This window comes from Homo sapiens, chromosome 17 (assembly GCF_000001405.40).
Source record: "Homo sapiens chromosome 17, GRCh38.p14 Primary Assembly".
Taxonomy (NCBI): Eukaryota; Metazoa; Chordata; class Mammalia; order Primates; family Hominidae; genus Homo; species Homo sapiens.
Window position 1 is genome coordinate 42925732 of NC_000017.11, and position 23082 is coordinate 42948813.

The following is a 23082-nucleotide window of genomic DNA, read 5'->3' on the forward strand; positions in this document are numbered from 1 at the left end:
AAATTTTTTTTTTTTGTAAAGACAAGGGCTCTCTATGTTGCCCAGGCTGGTCTTGAACACCTAGACTCAAATGATCCTCCTGCCTCAGCCTCTCAAAGTGCTAGGATTACAGGTGTGAGCCACCACACCCAGTTTAGGTTCTTAATATTTTACCCCAAACCTGGTCATCTCTACAATTCTGTATCTCAGTGAATGGTAAGTCCATCCATCCACACGCTATCTTCCTCCTTCCCATCCATCCTCCATCCATCAAATCCTCTTACTTTTACCCCTTAAATATCTCTAAAATCTGCCATTTCTTGCCATTTCTACTGCTGCCTACCCCAGATAAAAGTCACCACCATCAATGGCAATGGCCTGCAATGGCCTTCTTTTTTTCTTTTTTTTTTTTTGAGACGGAGTTTCACCTTGTTGCCCAGGCTGATCTTGGCTCACTGCAACCTCCGCCTCCCAGGTTCAAGTCATTCTCCTGCCTCAGCCTCCCAAGTAGCTAGGATTACAGGCCCATGTCACCACGCCCAGCTAATTTTTATATGTTTAGTAGAGACGGGGTTTCACCATGTTGGCCAGGCTGGCCTAGAACTTCTGACCACAGGTGATCTACCTGCCTCGGCCTCCCAAAGTTCTGGGATTACAGGTGTGAACCAACGAGTCCAGCTGCAATGGGCTTCGTAAATGTTCCCTGCATTCACTCTCGCCCTTTTCATATCCATTCACCAGAAGACTGATGGAGTGATCTTTTTAAACCCAAAATCTGATATCACACTCTTGCTTGAAACTTTTTAATGGATTATCACTGTTCTTAGGATATAAATCTTTATTATGAAAAACTTGGCCAGGCGCCGTGGCTCATGCCTGTAATTCCAGCACTTTGGAAGGCCGAAGAGATAGGATTGCTTGAGTCCAGGAATATAAGACCAGCCTGAGCAACGTAGTGAGACCCCCGTCTTTATTTTTTGCTTTTTTGTGTGTTTTTTCATTTCTGCTTTTTTTTTTTTTTTTTAAGACGGAGTCTTGCTCTGTTGCCCAGGCTAGAATGCAGTGGCTTAATCTCAGCTCACTGAAACCTCCACCTCCCAGGTTCAAGCAATTCTTCTACCTCAGCCTCCCGAGTAGCTGGGATTACAAGCACACACCACCACATATGGCTAATTTTTATGTTTTTAGTAGAGACTGGGTTTCACCATGTTGGTCAGGCTGGTCTTGAACTCCTGACCTTAAGTAATACACCCGCCTCGGCCTCCCAAAGTACTGAGATTACAGGAGTGAGCCACCCTGTCTGGTCTCACTTCTTTTTGTATCTTTTTCCTTCATCTTTTATTTTCTACCCATCTCTCCATTTTTAAATTAATACATACATAAATTTTAAAAAGGAAAAAAACTTGTACATGAATATTCAGAGCAGGATTATTCATAATAGCTAAAAAGCAGAAACAACCTGAATGTCCATCAACTAATGATAAATAAACAAAATATAGCCTAGCCATAGAGTGCAATATTATTTGGCCATGGAAGGAATGAAGTATGAATACATGCTAGAGTGTGGATGAACCTTGAAAACATTATACTAAGTGAAAGAAGCAAGGCACAAAAGATCACATACCATATAATTCCATTTATAGAAATGTCCAGAATCGGCAAATCCATAGAGACAGAAAGTAGATTGGTGGTTGCCTAAGGCTAGATGTTTGGGGGAAATGGAGAGTGACTGCTGAAGGCTGCAGGGTTTTTTTTTTAGGGTGACGAAAATGTTCTCAAATTGACTGTGGTTATGTACAACTCTGTGAATATACTAAAAACCAATGAATTGTATTTTTTTCTTTTTTTAATTTCTTTCTTTTTTTTTTTTTTTTTTGAGAGAGTCTCACTCTATTACCCAGGCTGGAGCACGGTGGCATGGTCATAGCTCACTGCAGCCTCAACCTCCTGGGCTCAAGAGATCCTCCCAACTTAGCCTCCAGAGTAGTTGGGAATACAGGTAGATACCACAATGCCTGGGTAACTTTTTAATTTTTCATAGAGATGAAGTTGCACTGTGTTGCTCAGGCTGATCTCAAACTCCTGGCCTCAAGCAATCCTCCCACCTTGGCTTCCCAAAGTGCTGGGATTATAGGCATGAGCCACCATGCCCGGCTGAATTGTACATTATTTATTTATTTTATTTTATTTTTTTGAGACAGAGTTTTGCTCTCATCCCCCAGGCTGGAGTGCAATGGTGTGATCTCAGGTCACTGCAACTTCCGCCTCCCAGGTTCAATCAATTCTCCTGCCTCAGCCTCCCGAGTAGCTGGGATTACAGGCACCCACCACCACACCAGGCTAATTTTTATATTTTTAGTAGAGATGGCGTTTCACAATGTTGGCCAGGCTGGTCTCAAACTCCTGACTTCAAGTGATCCACCCACCTTGGCCTCCCAAAGTGCTGGGATTACAGGTGTGAGCCACCGCACCCCAGCCACAGCATTTCTTTTCTTTTCTTTTCTTTTTTTTTTCTTTTTGAGATGGAGTCTCTCTCTGTTGCCCCAGACTGGAGTGCAGTGGCGCAATCTCAGCTCACTGCAACCTCCACCTCCTGGATTCAAGTGATTCTCCTGCCTCAGCCTCCCAAGTAGCTGGGATTACAGGCATGTGCCACCATACCCAACTAATTGTATTTTTAGTAGAGACGGGGTTTCAGTATGTTGGCCAGGCTGGTCTTGAACTCCTGGCCTCAAGTGATCCACCTGTCTCTGCTTCCCAAAGTGCTGGGATTACAGGCATGAGCTACCTCAACTGGCTACCAAATTGTGCATTTTAAATGTGTGAATTTTGTGGTGTGTGAATTATATCTCAATAATGCTCTTACCAAAAAAAAAAAAATCTTTATATGGCCTCTGAAAGCTTACCTCAGCTGGACCTTGTCTACCGCACCTCACCTGGTCTCCTTCACCTCATTCCACAAAGCACAGCCAATGTCATCTTGGTTCCTCCAATGCAACACACTCCAGCCCTCCTCCGAGCTTGGGCTTTTACACACCCCCCTTCTTAGAACACTCTTCTGCCTCTTCACATAATTCAGTCCTCCACATTGGTATCACTTTCTCAAGGAAGCCTCCCTGCCCACCCACCATGAGTCATGATCAAGTTCCTCTTCTGGGCCTGCCAAAGCACCCCTTTTACTTTGCTCTCTACCAAACGTCACTTTGTGATTATTTGGATCATGTCCGTCTTCCCCACTAGACTAGGCCCCATGAGTGCAGCTCCATGCCTGCTTTGCTCACTCTTGCACTTAAACCCTGTGCCTAGCCCTGGCCTAACACATGAGGAGGACTCCAGATATCTTGGTTGAATAATAAATGAGCAATATATTACTGTTTGCCCCTAACTTGGAAAACAAATGATAGGTTCAACAATTCTAGAGCTCCACAAATGACTCAGCAAAAACATGTTCGGAGGCACTCCCAACGTGAAATTAGAAGGTTGGAAACTCAGAGGACGGGACAGGCTTAGATAGAAACATTGGCCTCTTCCCAGGTAAGTTCTCCCCAGGAGGTGGGGAGCAAACTCTCTGAGCAGCCAGTTACAGGGAACTCATGACTAAGCTCTGTTGCTGTTTATCAAGATACACACTGACTCTCAGAAGTTCTAGCGTGAACCAAATCCTGCTTCAACCCCATGGGCTTTCAGTGTAGGACTTTTTCTTTTTGTTGGTGATCACACACCCTACTGGTGGCTTAACCAATTACATTGCCTCAGCCCCTGTGACACTCCAGCTCCGCGTCCCCTTTATGATGCTTCAAATATCATAAAAGCAGAGAAAAATCATATGTCATATATCAGAAAATCATATATCAACTTTTTTTTATTTTGAGGTCTTTCACACACTGAACTTATTTTAATCATAATTGTCAATTATAAATAAACATAATTACTATGTTCCTTTTTTGATGTCAAATTGTTGCAATTTGGACAGTGGCTTCCTTATCCTTCTACCATTGCTGGCCTAAAATCCTTGTGTTCTAGGCCCATTCCAAATTTTCCTTGTTCCAAGACACAGAATCAGCCACCCACTAAGAAGTCTCATTTCCTTTTGATGGGTGCACGAGAGTGGGAGGTTAGCAGAAGAAATGCTGTTAATGGGCTAGGTGCAGTGGCCTAGCCTGTAATCCCAACACTTTGGAAGGCTGAGGCAGGAGGATCACCTGAGGTCAGGAGTTCGAGACCAGCCTGGCCAACATGGGGAAACCCCATATCTACTAAAAATACAAAAAATTAGCTGGGCGTGGTGGTGTGTGCCTGTAATCCCAGCTACTCAGGAGGCTGAGCCAGGAGAATTGCTTGAACCCAGGAGGCGGAGGTTGCAGTGAGCTGAGATCATGCCACTGCACTCCAGCCTGGGCAACAGAGAGAGACTTCATCTCAAAAAGGAAAAAAAAAAAAAGAAGAAGGAAAAGAAATGCTGTGGCCAGGGCATGGTGGCTCACGCCTGTAATCCCAGTACTTTGGGAGGCTGAGGCAGGTGGATCATGAGGTCAGGAGCTCAAGACCAGCTTGGCCATTATGGTGAAACCCCATCTCTACTAAAAATACAAAAATTAGGCAGATGCCTATAATCCCAGCTACTCAGGAGGCTGAGGGAGGAGAATCACTTGAACCTGGGAGGCAGAGGTTCAGTGAGCCAAGATTGAGCCACTACAGTCCAGCCTGGCAACAGAGCGAGACTCCATTTCAAAAAAAGAAAAAAGAAAAAGAAAAAGAAATGCTGTTAATGAACTGTATTTTAGGGTCAGAGCCAGGAAATTATATTTCTCTTAAAGCTTATGGGTTCACAATAATGTTTCCAATTGAACTCTATGTTGTAATTTTTTATTCAATATAAAATATTTTCAGGCCAGGCCCGGTGGCTCATGCCTGCAATCCCAACACTAGAAGGCAAGACGGGAGAATTGCTTGAGACCCAGAGTTCAGGACCAGCCTGGGTAACATACCGCAACCCCCTCTCTATAAAAGAAAAAAAAGATATAATTGTTTTCATTTATTTTATCTGCAATATTCCTGCATAGAGATTTAATCTTCACCCTCACTATAATTGCATTTCCTTTACTAGCCCTCATTTGCCTTGCCAACCGCCATTATACCGTCCCTTTGCTGATGGTGATGTCTGTTGGCTTGGTCTCCTTGTTCTGGTTGACCAGACTATCCTCCTGTTATAAACAGCAGGAAACACAACCCCAAAACACACATACACACACACTGGAAGCCTACATGAATTTCACATGCATCGTTTGAGGCAGCCTCCTGAGAGCCAGTCATCCTTCCAAGACAGTGACTGCTTCGGGAGTAAAATCATAACTGAGAGAGTCTCAGGGAACTTTGTTGTTGTTTTACTGAGTTGACATTTGGGAAGTTTAAGGTCTTTATTGCTCTGACAGAGTATTTTAACTTAATTTTTTTTGTTGAGACAGAGTCTTGTTATGATGCTCAGGTTGCTCTCGAACTCCTGGGCTTGAGTGATCCTCCTGCCACAGCCTCCTGAGCAGCTAGGATTACGTAGGTGCACGTCACCATACCTGGCTCTTTATCTTGCTTTTTGTCATTAGAAAAGTATCACACAAATGAATTACAAAGAAGATCATTTCATTCAGAAATGTTGGAAACTACTGAAAAGTATAAAGATGAAACTAAAAATCACTCCAATCTCATCATCCAGAAATAACTGAGGGCCAAGGCACAGTGGCTCGCATGTGTAATCCCAGCACTTTGGGAGGCTGAGGCAGGAGGATCACTTGAGCCCAGGAGTTCAAGACCTGCCTGGGCAATATAGGGAGACTCTATCTCTACAAAAAAACACAAAAATACGAAATTACAAAAGAAACAAATAACTGAAGCTAACATTTTGAAAAAAGAAGTAGGCCGGGCGTGGTGGCTCACGCCTGTAATCCCAGCACTTTGGGAGGCCAAGGTGGGCTGATCACCTGAGGTCAGGAGTTCAAGACCAGACCGACCAATGTGATGAAACCCCGTCTCTACTAAAAATACAAAAATTAGCTGGGCATGGTGGCACATGCCTGTAATCCCAGTTACTCGGGGACTGAGACAGAAGAATCACTTGAACCTGGGAGGCAGAGATTGCAGTGAGCCGAGATCGCACCATTGCACTCCAGCCTGGGCAACAAGAGTGAAACTCCATCTCAAAAAAAAAAAAAAAAAAAAGAATACTGAGAATATGAAAAACCTTTTTTTTTCTAGATCCATCAATGCCTCTTGAAGAGAGTATCAAAAATCAATATGAAACTGAAAGAGCTACTGAACTGCAGACAAAAATTTCATCAGATACATCAGAGATTTCTCTAAAGGTTAAAAAGAAACGTGAGAAATATTAAAAGTCAATTGCCTGGTGTGGTGGCTTGCACCTATAATCCCAGCTACTTGAGAGGCTGAGGCAGAAGAATCCTTTGAGCCCAGAAGTTAGAGTTTACAATAAGTTCTGATTGCACTACTGCACTCCAGCCTGGGCCACAAGACAAGAAGACTCTGTCTCAAAAAAAAAAAAAAAAAAAGAGTCAGTTGTACTATTCTGCTTTGTGGTTTTGTGTATTAATCTGCAATTTATAGAGTTTTAATGAAAAGTCATCAGTGTTGGTAGAATGCTGATTTAAATGTATTTATGAGAAAATGTCACCTTGTCACCTGAGTTAAAACACACAATCAAAATGGCAGGGTGAAAACTGTGGACTCCAAAGTTCATGCTTTCACTAATTTCTTTTCTTTTTAAAAAAACATTTTTGGCCGGGCGCAGTGGCTCACGCCTGTAATCCCAGCACTTTGGGAGGCCAAGGTGGATGGATCACAAGGTCAGGCGATTGAGAACATCCTGGCTAAAACAGTGAAACCCCATCTCTACTAAAAATACAAAAAAATTAACCAGGTGTGGTGGCGGGCGCCTGTAGTCCCAGCTACTCGAGAGGCTGAGTCAGGAGAATCTCTTGAACCCGGGAGTTGGAGGTTACAGTGAGCTGAGATCGTTGCCACTGCACTCCAGCCTGGGTGAGAGAGCAAGACTCAATTGCAAAAAAAAAAAAAAACCTGGCAGGTAACTGTGTTTTGTTTTATTCTTAACTAATGTTTCTTTTTTTCTTAATCCAGTGAAATTTAGCAATGGGGGGTTGTATACCAACTTTAGTGACACTAATGTTAATAAGTTCTGATGACCCACTACCATCGGACCAGCCTAATGTTTCTTAATGAGAAACATTTCTTTCTGGGTGGTTAAACTTAATCAACCGTCCCATAAAAACAAGAAGACTCCTCTGCTGCCTAACTAAACAATCAAAAAACCAATTTTTTAATTTAAAAAAAAGGTTTAAGATTCAAGCCTACTTTTAGGCTCATCCTCTAAGAGAAATGAGTAAGCAAAGGCTGAGCTATAATCACAACATCCAGAGCTGCACTCAGTCCTGAAGCACCAGAACACACACATGGGCTGCCTGAGCTCCTCAAGTGCCCCTGCTGCCGCCACTGTTACCAGAAAGAAAAAAATGAGGTTGGTTCGCCTGGCAAGTAACAAACGACTTGCCATGAGAACACAGGGTTTTTTGTTAGTTTTTTTTGTTTGTTTTGGGGGTGGGGGGGTTTGAGACAGAGTCTCACTCTGTTGCCCAAGCTGGGGTGCAGTGGCGTGATCTCGGCTCACTGCAACCTCCACCTCCTGGGTTCAAGCGATTCTCCTGCCTCAGCCTCCCGAGTAGCTGGGATTACAGGCATGTGCCATCACACCTGGCTAATTTTGTATTTTTAGTACAGATGGGGTTTTGCCATGTTGCCCAGGCTGGTCTTGAACTCCTGACCTCAGGTGATCCACCCGCTTCAGCTTCCCAAAGTATTAGGATTACAGGCATGAGCCACCACGCCTGTTCGGAGAACGCAGGTTTTGATCAGTAGGAGTTTTACTCGGCACAAGTAAGGAGGACACTGGGCGTGTTCTCCAAAGCAGTGTCTCCCCGAGGGAAAGTAACAGAAAGGTTTTCCAGGGTGATAGAAATGGGAGAGGGTGCATCATCGCTAGTAGAGGAGGGGTCCCAATTGTCCAGATGCAGTGAGGCATCATGCCAGCCCATAGGTTACACGTGATGGTAATGAAGCCGTTGCTCCTGCTGGGGTGCAGACTCTAGCACAGTCATGAGGAAAGTTCACTCTGGTTCCTCTATGAGTTGGGGTCTGTCAGGAGCTGGTTCCAACAAACAAGGGGACCACATTCCACACAGGGTTTAGGGAAAACAGGCTGCAGGGCGGGAGGCTGTAGAACTGGCTGATTGCTCAAGTTGACTAAACCCCTATAATCCTTGGAGACCCTTCCTGTCTGCTTACAGCACCTCCCCATTCCCCCAACACGGCCACAGCAATGAAGGGCCCAGCAAGGCACCCCCAGAACCTTGTTCCAGCCCCAGCAGAGCATCCTTCACTCCTCTCTTTCCCTCGCTCCTCCCTTCAATCATCAAGTATGTCCAAAACCCACTCCTCCCCCAGATCCGAGTCTCCATCTCCTCTCACCAGGATTACAGTGCCAGCCTCCAAACAGATGCCGCCTCCTCTACTCCCTCCTTTGCCTCCCCCTACAGTCTCTCAACACAGCAGCTGTGCTGATTACTTGAAAATGAGGGCCTGGTGCGGTGGCTCACGCCTGTAATCCCAGCACTTTGGGAGGCTGAGGCAGGTGGATCACCTGAGGTCGGGAGTTCGAGACCAGCCTGAGCAACATGGAGAAACCCCATCTCTACTAAAAATACAAAATTAGCTGGGCGTGGTGGTGCATGCCTGTAATCCCAGCTACTCGGGAGGCTGAGGCATGAGAATCGCTTGAACCCAGGAGGTGGAGGTTGTGGTGAGCCGAGATTGCACCACTGCACTCCAGCCTGGGCAATAAGAGCAAAACTCCATCTCAAAAAAAAAAAAAAGAAAGAAAGAAAGAAAGAAAAGAACGTCAGACACTGGCCTTGTGCTTAAAACCTTTCATGGGGTGGGATCTCACTCACAGTAAGAGTTGTAACCTTACAGGGGCCCACAAGACCCCTTTCTCTCTAACTTCATCTCCTCCCACTGTTCCCTGCAGCCCCCACTCAGCCCCTCCAGCCCCTGCGGTCCCTGGTGAAGGCCAAGCACACTCCAGCCATAGGGCCTTGGCCCTGCCCACCCCTCCAGTGTTCTACCCCCAGATACCTGTTTGCCTGATGCCCTCATCTCTGGCAAGTCTCTGCTTATTTCTCAGTTCCCTCCCCTCCCATCCACTCCCCTCCCCTCCCCTCCCCTCCTCTTCCCATCGTCTTTCCCTCCCCTCCCTCCCTCCTTTCCTTCCTTCCTTCCTTCCTTCTTTCTCTTTCTTCTTTCTCTCTTTCTTTCTCTTTCTTTCAAAGGAGTTTAGCTCTTGTTGCCCAGGCTGCAGTGTAATGGCACAATCTTGGTTCACTGCAACCTCCGCCTCCCAGCTTCAAGCGATTCTCCTGCCTCAGCCTCCCGAGTAACTGGGTTTACAGGTGCCCACCACCATGCCCGGCTAATTTTTTTGTATTTTTAATAGAGACGGGGTTTCACCATGTTGGCCAGGCTGGTCTTGAACTCCTGACCTCAGATGATCCTCCCACCTTGGCCTCCCAAAAGTGCTGAGATTACAGGCATGAGCCACAGCACCTGGCTTTTTTTTTTTTTTGAGTTTCACCGTTTTTTGGGGGTCTCACTGTCGCTCAGGCCGGAGTGCAGTGGTGCAATCACAGTTCACAGCAGGCTAGGCTTAAGTGATCCTCCCATCTTAGCCTCCAGAGTACCTGGGACTGTAGGTGCACACCACCACACCTGGCTAATTTTTTTTGTATTTTTTTTTTTAGAGATGAGGTTTTGCCATGTTGCCCAGGCTGGTCTCAAACTCCTGGGCTCAAGCGATCAGCCTCAGCCTCCCAAAGTGCTAGGATTACAGGCATGAGCCACTGACCCCAGCCTGTTTCTGTTTCTTAATGAGATCTTCCAGGACCACCCTATTTAAAATTTCAACCCACCCTACTACCTTCCTCTCCACACTCCTACTTCCTGGATTCCCAATTCTCCTTCCCTTCCCTTCTACTTTTCCTTTTATGTCCCCCTTAGTGCTTATCACTTTTTAACACAATGTATAATGGCGGGGCAAAGTGGCTCACGCCTGTAATCCCAGCACTTTGGGAAGCCGAGGTGGGCAGATTACCTGAGGCCAGGAGTTCCAGACAGTGTGGCCAACATGGGGAAACCCCTGTGCTCTACTAAAAATATGGAAATTAGCTGGGTGGTGATGCACACCTGTAATCCCAGCTACTCAGGTGGCTGAGGCACAAGAATCACTTGAACCTGGGAGGCGGGGGTTGCAGTGAGCCAGGATCACACCACTGTAATCCAGCCTGGGTGATAGAGGGAGCCTCCGTCTCAAAAAAAAACCAACATAATGTATCACTTGTTATGTGTACTGTTTATTCTGAGTGCCTGCATCACTAGAACATAAGCTCTACTAGGAAGGGAATTGTTGTTTTGTTCACTAATGTATCCGCTGGCACATGGTAGGCACTCGATATATATTTGTTGAAATTGGTCAATGCTCATGCCACAGCAATTGGTAAATAATTTGAATATATTGCCTGAAAATATCCTATAAAACTATCCTATAAAAGATAGTCAAAGGAAAAAGAAACAATGAAGCACATCATGGACAAATGATTGTGGTTAGCAACAATCAACTCTTTACATTCAAAATGATTATACAGGTCTGGCACAGTGGCTAATGGCTGTAATCCCAGCAGTTTGGGAGGCCAGGGTGGGTGGATCACCTGAGGTCAGGAGTTCAAGACCAGCCTGGCCAACATGGTGAAACCCCATCTCTACTAGAAATACAAAAATTAGCCAGGAGTGATGGTGGGCGCCTATAATCCCAGCTACTTGGGAGGCTGAGGCAGAAGAATCACTTGAACCTGGAAGGCAGAGGTTGCAGTGAGCCAAGATCGCACCACTGCACCCAGTCTCAAAAAAAAAAAAAAGAAAAAAAAAGATTATACATAAAATCAGAGTATCTGTCCGTCCCACTGCTCCTGCCAACCTTGCCTTACCTAACTGCAGGCAGCTTGCCTTTGTTGGTGTAGGAAGTGTACTGCTCCTGCTTCATTAATTCTCAAATTCATTTCAAAATCATAGATTGCTGGCCAGGCGCAGTGGCTCATGCCTGTAATCCCAACACTTTGGGAGGCTGAGGTGGGTGGATCACTGAGGCCCAATGAGGGCAACATATGAGCAAAGCTGGGCTGCAAAGACTGGCTTCTGTTGGCATCAGCAGTCGCCTGGGCTATAAACATTGACAAGATTCTCAACACAAACAAAACAGAGATACTGGTAGACAAACAGCAAACAAACAATATTTGATTTGATTCGATTTGTTGGATGAACTCCAGCAAAATAAGAGAACAATTCAAGAAAGAGGAATATATAGGATATAGGAAAGAGTGAAACTGACCGAAGACTGCCGATAAAGACATTGCAACATAACAGCTGCTTTACGTGATGATGAATGTTGAAGTCCTCAGTGAGCTGCAGGCCTTAAGTCTTGTCTTCTGGCCGGGCGCGGTGGCTCATGCCTATAATCCCAGCACTTTGGGAGGCCGAGGTGGTTGGATCACTTGAGGTCAGGAGCTCGAGACCAGCCTGGCCAACACGGTGAAACCCCGTCTCTACTAAAAATACAAAAATGAGCCAAGCATGGTGGTGGACGCCTGTAATCCCATCTACTCAGGAGGCTGAGAATCGCTTGAACCCAGGAGGCAGAGGTTGTAGTGAACCGAGATCGCACCACTGTACTCCAGGCTAGGTGACAGGGCAAGACTATGTCTCAGAAAAAAAAACAAAAAAAGAGAAATCTCCGGTTTGGCTAGAATGATGGAGTTAAATGCACAAAATATCAAGCATCAATTTAATTGGAGAAGAACTGAAACTCGTCAAAAATAGAGATGATAATTTCCAGAAGGCCATAGCTTGTCCCTTGATTTCCTGCTTGTGTTTTGGGAAACGCCATATTCCACATCCCATGGGCAAGTCATCAGAAGCCACAAGGGCACAGGACAACCAGAAGCCTCCTTTCAGGCTGGCTGAATGAGGGGCTCTTTAATCTTTTTCTTCTGGCGGAGGCCTTGGCAGCCACAGGCTCACAGCACCCTCTGCTGTTAAATTGCAAAGGATGGTGCCTGAGTTTTGAGACTGAGACTGCTAAAGGATTCTGGTCTGGGGCAGGAAGAAAATTACATGAGCCAGAGATATTCAAAATTGTTTTAATATCTCTAAATAAGTAAATAAAGAGCCAGGTGTGGTGGTGCCCAGTTACAGTCCTGGCTACTCGAGAGGCTGAGGTGAGAGGATCGCTTGAGCCCAGGAGTTTGAGGCCAGCCTGGGCAACATAGCAGACTCCGTCTCTATAAAAAATAAATGGGGCTCATGCCTGTAATCCCAGCACTTTGGGAGGCTGAGGTGGGAGGATTGCTTGAGGCCAGGAGTTCAAGACCAGCCCGGGCAACAGAGAGAGTCCTTATCTCCACAAAAAAAAAAAAACTTTTAAAATTAGCCGGACATAGTAATGTGAGCCTGTAGTTTCAGCTACTCCGAGGGCTGAGGCAGGAGGATAGATGGAGCCCAGGAGTTCAAGGATACAGTGAGCTACGTTGTGCCACTGCACTCCAGCCTGGGTGACAGAGCAAGACCTCATGTCAAAAAAATGTTTAATGTTCTTAATTGATTAATGTTTTAAAAAATTGTTTCATGCAAAACCTCAGGATGGATTAATTTTGCTGGTGACAGGTAGCAATGATAAAGCAAAGAAAAATTATGCAGCTAAACTTTTTCACCAAGGCAGATTTTCAGCCTTTTCCAAGCCAAGTGGAAATCCCCAATTCACCCCCACCAAGGTTCCAAAATCAGGAAAAACACACTTTCTAGCAGTGTTAGTGAAACTCATGTAACACTGTCTCCATCGAGATCGAGCCCTGAGTAACAAAAAGCAGGAGACAAACAGGCTTAGAATTATATGTAGGGGATTAGGGGCATAGCTTTCAGACCCCATAGGGAATAAACCTCTAGCTTTTCAGTTCCAGCATTTTGATATGCCTACCTGCCCTAACAGAGGTAAAATTAGAGGCTACATGGCAACATTACAATGGAAGGTTTTTACTTCTATTTATAACTTGCTTATTTGGTTATTTTTCCTTACCAAAAGCACAAGACAGCCTCAATATCCTTAAATACCCCAAGTCCTAAAATTACTTATTTAACCCTGAGAGATCTAGTTTATAAGATAGAACAGCTATCAGCCATGTACCATTTGTATGCTCTTTTTTTTTAAGTCAATCAATTTTTATTCAAGGAATTCCATTTGTGTTGTGATTTCTTCCACTGTCCATCAAGGTCACTTTAGATCTTCTAAAGATCTGGAGTCAAAAGATTTATCTTCAAGTTAGCCCTTTTTAATGAAACTGATGCTTATTTTAATCCAGTTGTCCTGTCAGCCCATAATTTTTTTTTTTTTTTTTTGCTTCTGTCATCTCCTTTTAATATGGATATACTGAAGAAGACTTCAAAATTCACCAAGAATCTTTGGGATCTAATTTCTTTTTTTTTTTTTTTTTGAGACGGAGTCTAGCTCTATTGCCAGACTGGAGTGCAGTGGCATGATCTTGGCTCACGGCAACCTCCGCCTCCCAGGTTCAAGTGATTCTCTTGCCCCAGCTTCCCGAGTAGCTGGGATTACAGGTGTGCCCCACCACACCCAGCTAATTTTTGTGTTTTTAGTAGCTAAGGGGTTTCACCATGTTGGCCAGGATGGTCTCAATCTCTTGACCTCGTGATCCGCCTGCCTTGGCGTCCCAAAGTGCTGAGATTACAAGTGTGAGCCACCGCGCCTGGCCACAGGATCTAATTTCTTCAACCAATTTACTTTAAGGTCATTTTTAGTGTAGGTGGATCTGCCTGATTCTCAATTTGACACCCTCTCTAAACATGAATTTAGTTCAAATCATATTCATTCCTAAGCGATCGCACTCAAGAATAGTACAGATGTGTGGAATATGCCAATACCTTTAACTCCAGACATCATGCTCTCAAGATAAAAGCCTTTAAAACAAAAAGCCATCCTATGTATCAAGTCAACATGAAATTGGAATATAAAATTAATACAACTGAGGATTTCCCTCGTATCCCATGCTGTTTAACTATCTATTCTACAGTCCTAGAATAAACTTTGTTTTTTTTTGTTTTTTTTTTTTTTTTGTTTTGAGACGGAGTCTCGCTCTGTTGCCCAGGCTGGAGTGCAGTGGTGCAATCTCGGCTCACAGGAAGCTCCACCTCCCGGGTTCACGCCCTTCTCCTGCCTCAGCCTCCCAAGTAGCTGGGACTACAGGCTCCTGCCACCATGCCCGGCTAATTTTTTGTTTTTTTAGTAGAGACAGGTTTTCACCGTGTTAGCCAGGAAACTTTTTTTTTAAATTAAGAGACACGGTCTGTCTTTGTTACCTAGGCTGGGGGTACAGTGGTGCCATCAAAGGTCAGTGCAGCCTCTGACTCCTGGGCTCAATCCTCTTTCCTTAGCCTCCCCTTCCTGAGTAGCTGCAACTACAGACACATGCCCTGATATCCAGCTAATTTTTAAATTTTTGTGGAGATGAGGTGTTACTTTCTTGCCCAGGCTGATCTTGAACTCCTGGCTTAAAGCAATACTCCCACCTCAGTGTGGGCATTGCAGGCATGAGCCACTGTGCCTGGCCTGGAACCAACCTTTATGGCTATCAATACTCCCATCAGTTAACTGTCTCAGGTATCAAAATATCCCTTCCTGTATGTATCAAAACTCATGCTGAACAATGAGTTCTGGGTTGCAAAAGAGGATTTATTTGTTGCACCTATCCATAAGTCTTTGTCCACAAGTTAAACAAAAACATACATAAGTGCAGCGTGTGCTCTTTTTAAGTACATTAGTAGACATACTACTGAGAGGCCACACTGCACGGGGTTAGGTAAGTGGACTCTGGAGCCAGATTGCTAGTTCAAAGATGTGCCCTTCCATTTACTAAGTGACTTTAGGCAAACTCCTTCTCTTGGTGTCTCAGTATCCTCAGCTGTGAAATGGGGATGACATTAAGACCGATTTCGGCCGGGCATGGTGGCTCAAGCCTGTAATCCCAGCACTTTGGGAGGCCGAGGCGGGTGGATCACGAGGTCGGGAGATTGAGACCATCCTGTCGAACACGGTGAAACCCTGTCTCTACTAAAAAACAAGAACTTAGCCGGGCGTGGTGGCGGGCACCTGTAGTCCCAACTACTTGGGAGGCTGAGGCAGGAGAATGACGTGAACCCGGGAGGCGGAGCTTGCAGTGAGCCGAGATCACGCCACTGCACTCCAGCCTGGGTGACAGAGTGAGACTCCATATCAAAAAAAAAAAAAAAAAAAAAGACCTATTTCATGGGGGTTGTTATGACGATTAAATGAGTTAATTTTTATAATGTGCTCAGAACAACGCCTGGGAGAACTATATAAGTGTTGATTTAATGCCAACCAATAATTAAATGATGCCAAACAATAATACAATAAAAATTACACGATGGTTTGAAGTCGGCTTTTCACTATTTAGACTTGCAACTGACAGACGTTTTTTGTTTTGTTTTGTTTTGTTTTGTTTCGTTTCCAGATGGAGCTTCGCTTTTGTTGCCCAAGAATAGGAGTGCAGTGGTGTGATCTTGGCTCGCTGCAACCTCCGCCTCCTGGGTTCAAGCGATTCTTCAGCCTCAGCCTCCCAAGTAGCTGAAATTACAGACGCCCGCCACCACACCGGCTAAATTTTGTATTTTTAGTAGAGACGGGGTTTCGCCATGTTGGCCAGGCTAGTCTTGAACTCCTGACCTCAGGTGATCTGTCCACCTCAGCCTCCCAAAGTGCTGGGATTACAGGTGTGAGCCACTGCGCCTGGCCTTGACAGAGGTTTTTATTAATCATAACTTCTTGTTTGTCTTCATGAGGTCTCTTTCAGGCTGTTATGCCTTGGTCACCCTCTTCTGCTGAGGTCTAACAAAGGGCTTACTTTCTGCTAAGGGGAAGAAAAGTTGGCCTCATGGGGTCAGAAGAAATGGTTTAACAGTGGTGGAAGAGGCTCTTAGAGTGTAAAGTGACGCAAGCAAGTTTCATGTCAGTCTTATTCTTTGCTTCTTTGTAGCTGCCACATAAAAGGTGCCCAACATATGTATGGTTCATTGATGAATCCAGTAACCCCAAGACAATGGTCATCTTCTGTGGCTGGCAGACAATTCACAGCTCTGGAATTTCTATAAAGAAAAGGCTAGGATGGGCATGGTGACTCACGCCTGTAATCCCAGCACTTTGGGAGGCCAAGGCAGGTGGATCACGAGGTCAGGAGTTCGAGTCCAGCCTGGCCAACATAGTGAAACCCCATCTCTACTAAAAATACAAAAATTAGCCGGGCGTGGTAGTACACACCTGTAGTCCCAGCTACTTGGGAGGCTGAGGCAGGAGAATTGCTTGAACCCAGGAGGCGGAGGTTGTGGTGAGCTGAGATTGCACCACTGTACTCCAGCCTGGGCAACAGAGCAAGATTCCATCTCAAAAAAAAAGGAGAGAAAAGGCTGAAGTCCGGGTGCAGTGGCTCATGCCTGTAATCTCAGCACTTTGGGTATGTTTGCTTGTTTGTTTGTTTGACATGGAGTCTCACTCTGTGACCCAGGCTGGAGTGCAGTGACATGATCTTGGCTCACTGCAACCTCCACCTCCCGGGTTCAAACGATTCTCCTGCCTCATCCTCCTGAGTAGCTGGGACTACAGGTGCGCACCACAATGCCCGGCTACTTTTTGTATTTTTAGTAGAAATGGGGTTTCACTATGTTGGCCAGGCTGGTCTTGAACTCCTGACCTCAAGCGATCCTGCTGCCTCGGCCTCCCAAAGTGCTGGGATTACAGGCATGAACCACTACACCCGGCCATAATCTCAGCACTTTGGGAGACTGAAGCAGGAGGATTACTTGAACACAGTTCTAGACCAGCTTGGGCAACATAGTGAGACCCCTGTCTCTACAAAAATTTTAAAAATTAGGCGAATGCGGTGGCATATGCTTGTAGTCCCAACTACTCAGGCAGCTGAGGCGGAAGAATTGCTTGAGTCCAGGAGATCAAGGCTGCAGTGAGACACGATCACATCACTGTACCCTGTACTCCAGCCTGGGTGACACAGCGAGACCCTGTCTCAAAAAAAAAAAAAGAGGGGGGCTTATGCATGGCCATGTGGTTGGAAGGGAAACCAGCAGACTTCCATCAAGTAAAGAAAAATATCAAGCTTTTAAAGAATTAAAGTTAACTTTATTCAGAAGTCTTGCTGAAGACTATAGATTGAGGCCTCTAGCCTAGGAGCAGGCTCTGGCCCAGTGTTTCAGATCCCTGCTTATATATAGGGGTGGAGGTTCTGTATGTGCAAAATCCCATCAGACTTGCTCAGAATTACATGAAAGCAGAATCACAGCAAGATTTGTGTGTCAGAGTACATCTGGTCCTAGATCACAGAGGCATCATCACTAACCCCGTCAGATGTCATCTTATGTATAGGAAAAGCCAGGGATTAAGGCCATTCTTTTTTTTTTTTTTTTTTTTTTTTTTTTTGAGACAGGGTCTCACTCCATCACCCAGGCTGGCATGCAGTAGCACAATCATGGCTCACTGCAGTCTCAACCTCCCCAGGTTCAGGTAATCCTCCCACCTCAGCCTTCCAAATAGCTGAGACTACAGGTGCACACCACCACGCCCAGCCAATTGTTGTATTTTTTTGTAGAGATGAGGTTTTGCCATGTTGCCCAGGCTGGAGGTCATTCATCTTTTAAGGAATGCAGTGACTCCGGCAAGAGGACAAGAGACATGGGGGCTGTGTATTCTGTTTTGTTGTCTTCAAAGCATCTTTCTGGAGAGCTGCAGGTCTTCACAGAGTCAGAAGCTTTGGAAAATTATGCTGGCAAGCAGAAATGGGCAAACATAGCTTATGTTTGCTACTTGGTCTCACACTTGTCTAAAAACTTGTGTTGCTGGCTGGGTGCAGTGGCTCATGCCTGTAAACCCAGCACTTTGGGAGGCCAAGGCAGGTGGATCATGAGGTCAGGAGACTGAGACCATCCTGGCTAACACAGTGAAACCCCGTCTCTACTAAAAATACAAAAAATTAGCTGGGTGTGGTGGCGCACACCTGTAGTCCCAGATACTTGGGAGGCTGAGCCAGGAGAATCTCTTGTACCCGAGAGGCAGAGGTTGCAGTGAGCCAAGATTGTGCCGCTTCTCTCCAGCCTGGGTGAAAGAATGAGACTCCATCTCAAAAAAAAAAAAAAAAATTGTGTTGTCTATTAAACTATGTTTGCTTTATTTCAGATGGCCTGGATGCTGGAAATTATGAGAAAACTAAATCCTCCCCCAGCCTCCTTTGACAACACCACTACCCTCTCCTACCCTCTTCCTCCCATTATTCTCTATTCGTTTACCTGCTCTCTTCCTCTCAGATTCAACAGAATTTATACTTTTACATGTATTGGATTGTTTCTTTCTTATCTTCCTTCTCCACAGCTGTAAATGCCATAACAGGGACCACGGCCAGATTACTCACCAGTGTGGCCCCAGTGCTGGGTACAATGCTTGGCACACACTACACTCTCAATAAACATCTGTCGTATAAACAAATGAATTCTGTGATTATGTATCATATGCACAAGTCAACAACAACACAAGTTATGTATTATGAAAGGGAGAACTTGCATTTTCACAGAAGAAAATGTTGATTCCTCCCTTCTTTTCTGAAACACTTGGCCTCTTAAATAATTAACTAATTTTAATTGATACATATAAAATTGTAGGCCAGGCACAATGGCTCACGCCTGTAATCCCAGCACTTTGGGAGGCTGAGGCGGGTGGATCACCTGAAGTCAGGAGTTCGAGACCAGCCTGGTGAACATGGTGAAACCCTGTCTTTACTAAAAATACAAAAATTAGCTGGGCATGGTGGTGGGTGACTGTGATCCCAGCTACTCGGGAGGCTGAGGCAGGAGAATCGCTTGAACCCAGGACAAGGAGGTTGCCGTGAGCTGAGATCATACCACTGCACTCCAGCCTGGGCGACAAGAGCGAAACTCCGTCTCAAAAAAAAAAAACTACTCTCTTTGCAATTTTCAAGAATACAATACATTAGTTTTCAGTGGTTTTGTTTTTTTGAGATTGAGTCTTGCTCTTTTGCCTAGGCTAGAGGGCAGTGGCACAATCTCGGCGCAATCTCGGCTCAGCAACCTCTGACTCCGGAGTTCAAGTGATTCTCCTGCCTCAGCCTCCTGAGTAGCTGGGACTACAGGTGTGTGCCACCATGCTCAGCTAATTTTTGTATTTTTAGTAGAGATGGAGTTTCACCATGTTGGCCAGGCTGGTCGCGAACTCCTGACCTCAAGTGATCTATCTGCCTCAGCCTCCCAAAGTGCTGGGATTACAGGCATGAGCCACCACGCCTGGCCTAATACATTGTTATTAAACACCTATAGTCATTGTGTAGTACTACAGTTATCTTAAATTTATTTCTCCTATCTTGGCCAACCAAGGTGGCTCAGGCCTGTAATCCCAGAACTTCGGGAGGCCAAGGCAGGAAGATCACTTGAGCTCAAGAGTTCAAGACAAGCCTAGGCAACATGGCAAGACCCTGTCTCCACAAAAGTAGAAAAAGTAGCCAGGTGCGGTGGTGTGTGCTTGTAGTCCCAGCTACTCAGGAGGCTGAAGTGGGAGGATCGCTTGAGCCCAGGAAAGTCGAGGCTGCAATGAGACAAGATTTCCATTGCACTCCAGCCCAGGAAACAGAGTAAGACCTTGTCTAAAAAAAAAAAAAAAGCAAACAAGCCCACAAGCAGACAAAAAAAAAAAAAAAAAATCAAAAAACTTATTCCTCCTATCTAACTAAAAGTGTGTATCCTTTGACCAACAACTCCTCAACCCCTCTCCCTCCTCCAAACTCTTGGCTTTGAGGTTGGTGTTTTAAAATGAACAGGGATATTTACTAACAGGCCTCTGCCACAGGTCACTTCTGCAGGGAGTTTATGGCTCAGCAAAAGAGAAAGCTGTCCCTGTGAGAGCCTCTTCTGCTCCAGACACAACTCCAGGTCAGTTAACTAAGTCCTACTTATTCCTTAGTTTGAAGCCTGGCACTCTGCCTGTAGTATTTTGCACAGAAGATACAGACCTTTCTAAAGAAAGAAGGAAATTCCTCCATCACTCGTTCCCAAACATCCCTACTTGCCCTCTGTTGAGAACACTAGTCATAGTTTGGATCAAATTCAGGAAAGGAATGGGAGACAGAGACGCTTTCTGAAAAAGATTTTTTTCATTAGGGCAAACACTGTCTGTTTTCCTTTTGGTACCAGGTTTTAAATAAACCCTAGAGTTTATTTAAGTTCTCATTCAGGGACAGATCTGGCATTCTAGCACAGCTTGGCCGACTCACTGGTTTCCACTCAGGACTCCAAGGCAGGGTGGAGCACAGGACACTGGCACAATGCCTTCCTGAATTCAGTCTGTGTGTGTTTGTTGTTGTTGTTGTTGTTGTTGTTGTTTTTGAGACGGAGCTTTGCTCTTGTTGCCTAGGCTGGATGGAGTGCAACGGCGCGATCTTGGCTCACTGCAACCTCCGCCTCCCGGGTTCAAGCAATTCTCCTACCTCAGCCTCCAGAGTAGCTGGGATTGCAGGCATGCGCCACCACACTTGGCTAATTTTGTATTTTTAGTAGAGGCGGGGTTTTTCCCATGTTGGTCAGGCTGATCTCAAACTCCCGACCTCAGGTGATCCACCTGCCTCAGCCTCCCAAAGTGTTGGGATTACAGGCATGAGCCACAGCGCCGGCCCTGAATTCAGTCTGTCTACTGCTCTGGGTCTCTTCCACCTGATACCTTTCATCTTTCATACTAACATCTGTTCTAGTACCTACATGCATCACCTTAGTGGAAGCTACAGCAGCTGTCTTCAGCAATTTATGGGTACGCACATAAAAAAATTTCCTTAGAAGCCAAGGAGTCCCCCTTACTATTTCTGTGCCGTAAAGTGGGTTATAGTAACATTCCAGAATATATAACCTGTGTGTGTACCTAAAACTTGATTACTCCAATAAATGAACTCATTTTGTTTCCTGGTGAACCTCATAAAAGACAATCCACCCCTTCCCCTGAACACACTCTGTTCTTCTCCCCCTCTCCCTGGGGCATTGGATTAGGGCCTCAGTGACAGGCAAGAATGACATCACCAGTTCAAAAACTGCTGCTTTATTTTCTCTTTCTTTATACAACCAATTACCATTTTCACATAATTTGCTCAAGTGTTTATGGCTTTTCTTAATTATTTCATAAGGTTCCTTCCTTCTTAGGACACCCAGTTCATGTGTCCATTTTCAGGTCAAGAAACTGAAGCTCAGGGAGTCTCAGCAGGGGGACCAGACATCCAGGCTACCTTAACACCGTCTGGGTTTCTGACTGTTGTTCTGGCATGAGGTTTGCCTAACTCTGGATATTAAAATTACATGGTTGCTCTAGGTCTAAGTGACAAGAACCCACCTGAGTGGTAGTGAGCAAGAGTGGCCTCCCAGGTCACTGTTCTTGTTGTTGCACCTGTGTTCTGAATCTTTGTGTACCCCTAAAAATTCATATGTTGAAATCCTAACCCCCTAAGTGGTATCAGGAGGTGGGCCCTTTAGCAGGTGATTAGGTCACGGGGGCAGAGCCTTCGTGAATGAAATTAGTGCATTATAAAAGAGGCCCGAGAGGGCTGGGTGCGGAGGCTCATGCCTGTAATCCCAGCACTTTGGGAGGCTGAGGCAGGCGGATCACCTGAGGTCAGGAGTTCGAGACCAGCCTGGCCAACATGGTGAAACCCCATCTCTACTAAAAATACAAAATATTAGCTGGGTGGGATGGCAGGCGCCTGTAATCCCAGCTACTCGGGAGGCTGAGGCAGGAGAATCACTTGAACCTAGGGGGTGGAGGTTGCAGTGAGCTGAGATTGCACCATTGCACTTCAGCCTGAGCAACAAGAGTGAAACTCCATCTGTCTCAAAAAAAAAAAAAAAAAAAAAAGGCCCAAGAAAGACCCCTTACCCTTTGCACCAAGGGTGCAAAAAGATGGCTATTCCTGAACCAGTATTTGAACCTTCACACCAGACACTGAATTTGCCAGCTTCCCAGCCTCCACTGTGAGAAATACATTTTTGTTGTTTATAAGCTACCTAGTTTTTGTTATTATAGCAGTCAGATCAGACTAAGGCACACCCTAAAGAAACAAACACAGAGAGGGACAGAGATCTCACACAGAGACAAATTCACATGGGTCTCTGTTCAAGATCCTGCCTGAGTCCTTCTACAAAAGTAAGGAAGCTTCTGTGAAGCAAACATTTCCCTTTCTCCCACTAATGGACCCATTTTGTATAGCATGAGTGTTACACTATGGTTTTATCTAAAACATGGCACTCTGAGAAAAGCAAGATGCAGAAGAGTATACAATGTGCTACCATTTATGTTTAAAAAGAGGGAAGATTTATGTACATCTATTTTTTAAAATACTACCAGAGGGATATATAAGAAATTGGTAACAGGCTGGGCATGGTGGCTCACGCCTGTAATCCCAACACTGGGAGGCCAAAGTGGACAAATTGCTAGAGCCCAGGAGTTCAAGACTAGTGTGGGCAACACGGCAAAGCACTGTCTCTAGAAAAAATACAAAAAATTAGCCAGGTGTGGTGGTGCACACCTCTAGTCCCAGCTACTCAGAGGGCTGAGGTGGGAGGATCACCTGTTCCCAGGAGGTTGAGACTGCAGTAAGCCATGATTGTGCCACTGCATTCCAGCCTGGGCAACAGAGTGAGACTATATCTGGAAAAAAAAAAAAAAAAAAGGCCAGGCATGGTGGCTCATACTTGTAATCCCAGCACTTTGGGAGGCCGAGGCCGGCGGATTACCTGAGGTCAGGAGCTCGAGACCAGCCTGGCCAACATGGTGAAACCCCATCT

General features: G+C 45.4%; 1 non-coding gene and 1 pseudogene across 1 annotated transcript, besides 3 other annotated features; both read right to left on the reverse strand.

Moving 5' to 3' along the window:
• Positions 2718 to 3294: an enhancer, noted in NCBI's record as "H3K27ac hESC enhancer chr17:41080466-41081042 (GRCh37/hg19 assembly coordinates)". NCBI's record gives its function as "activates a minimal SCP1, AML or CMV promoter by ChIP-STARR-seq in naive H9 embryonic stem cells {active_cell/tissue: H9 hESC(naive)}" and the evidence as "EXISTENCE:reporter gene assay evidence [ECO:0000049][PMID:30033119]".
• Positions 2718 to 3333: a biological region, named in NCBI's record as "H3K27ac hESC enhancer GRCh37_chr17:41080466-41081042".
• Positions 3184 to 3333: an enhancer, noted in NCBI's record as "active region_12228". NCBI's record gives its function as "activates an Ori minimal core promoter by ATAC-STARR-seq in GM12878 lymphoblastoid cells {active_cell/tissue: GM12878}" and the evidence as "EXISTENCE:reporter gene assay evidence [ECO:0000049][PMID:35858748]".
• Positions 7119 to 7211, reverse strand: RNY4P2 (RNY4 pseudogene 2; annotated as a pseudogene).
• Positions 14844 to 14971, reverse strand: LOC124900400 (small nucleolar RNA SNORA40). Its single transcript, XR_007065994.1, has one exon. It is a non-coding gene; the product is annotated as a small nucleolar RNA SNORA40 (small nucleolar RNA).
• Positions 14972 to 23082: the final 8111 nt, after the last annotated feature.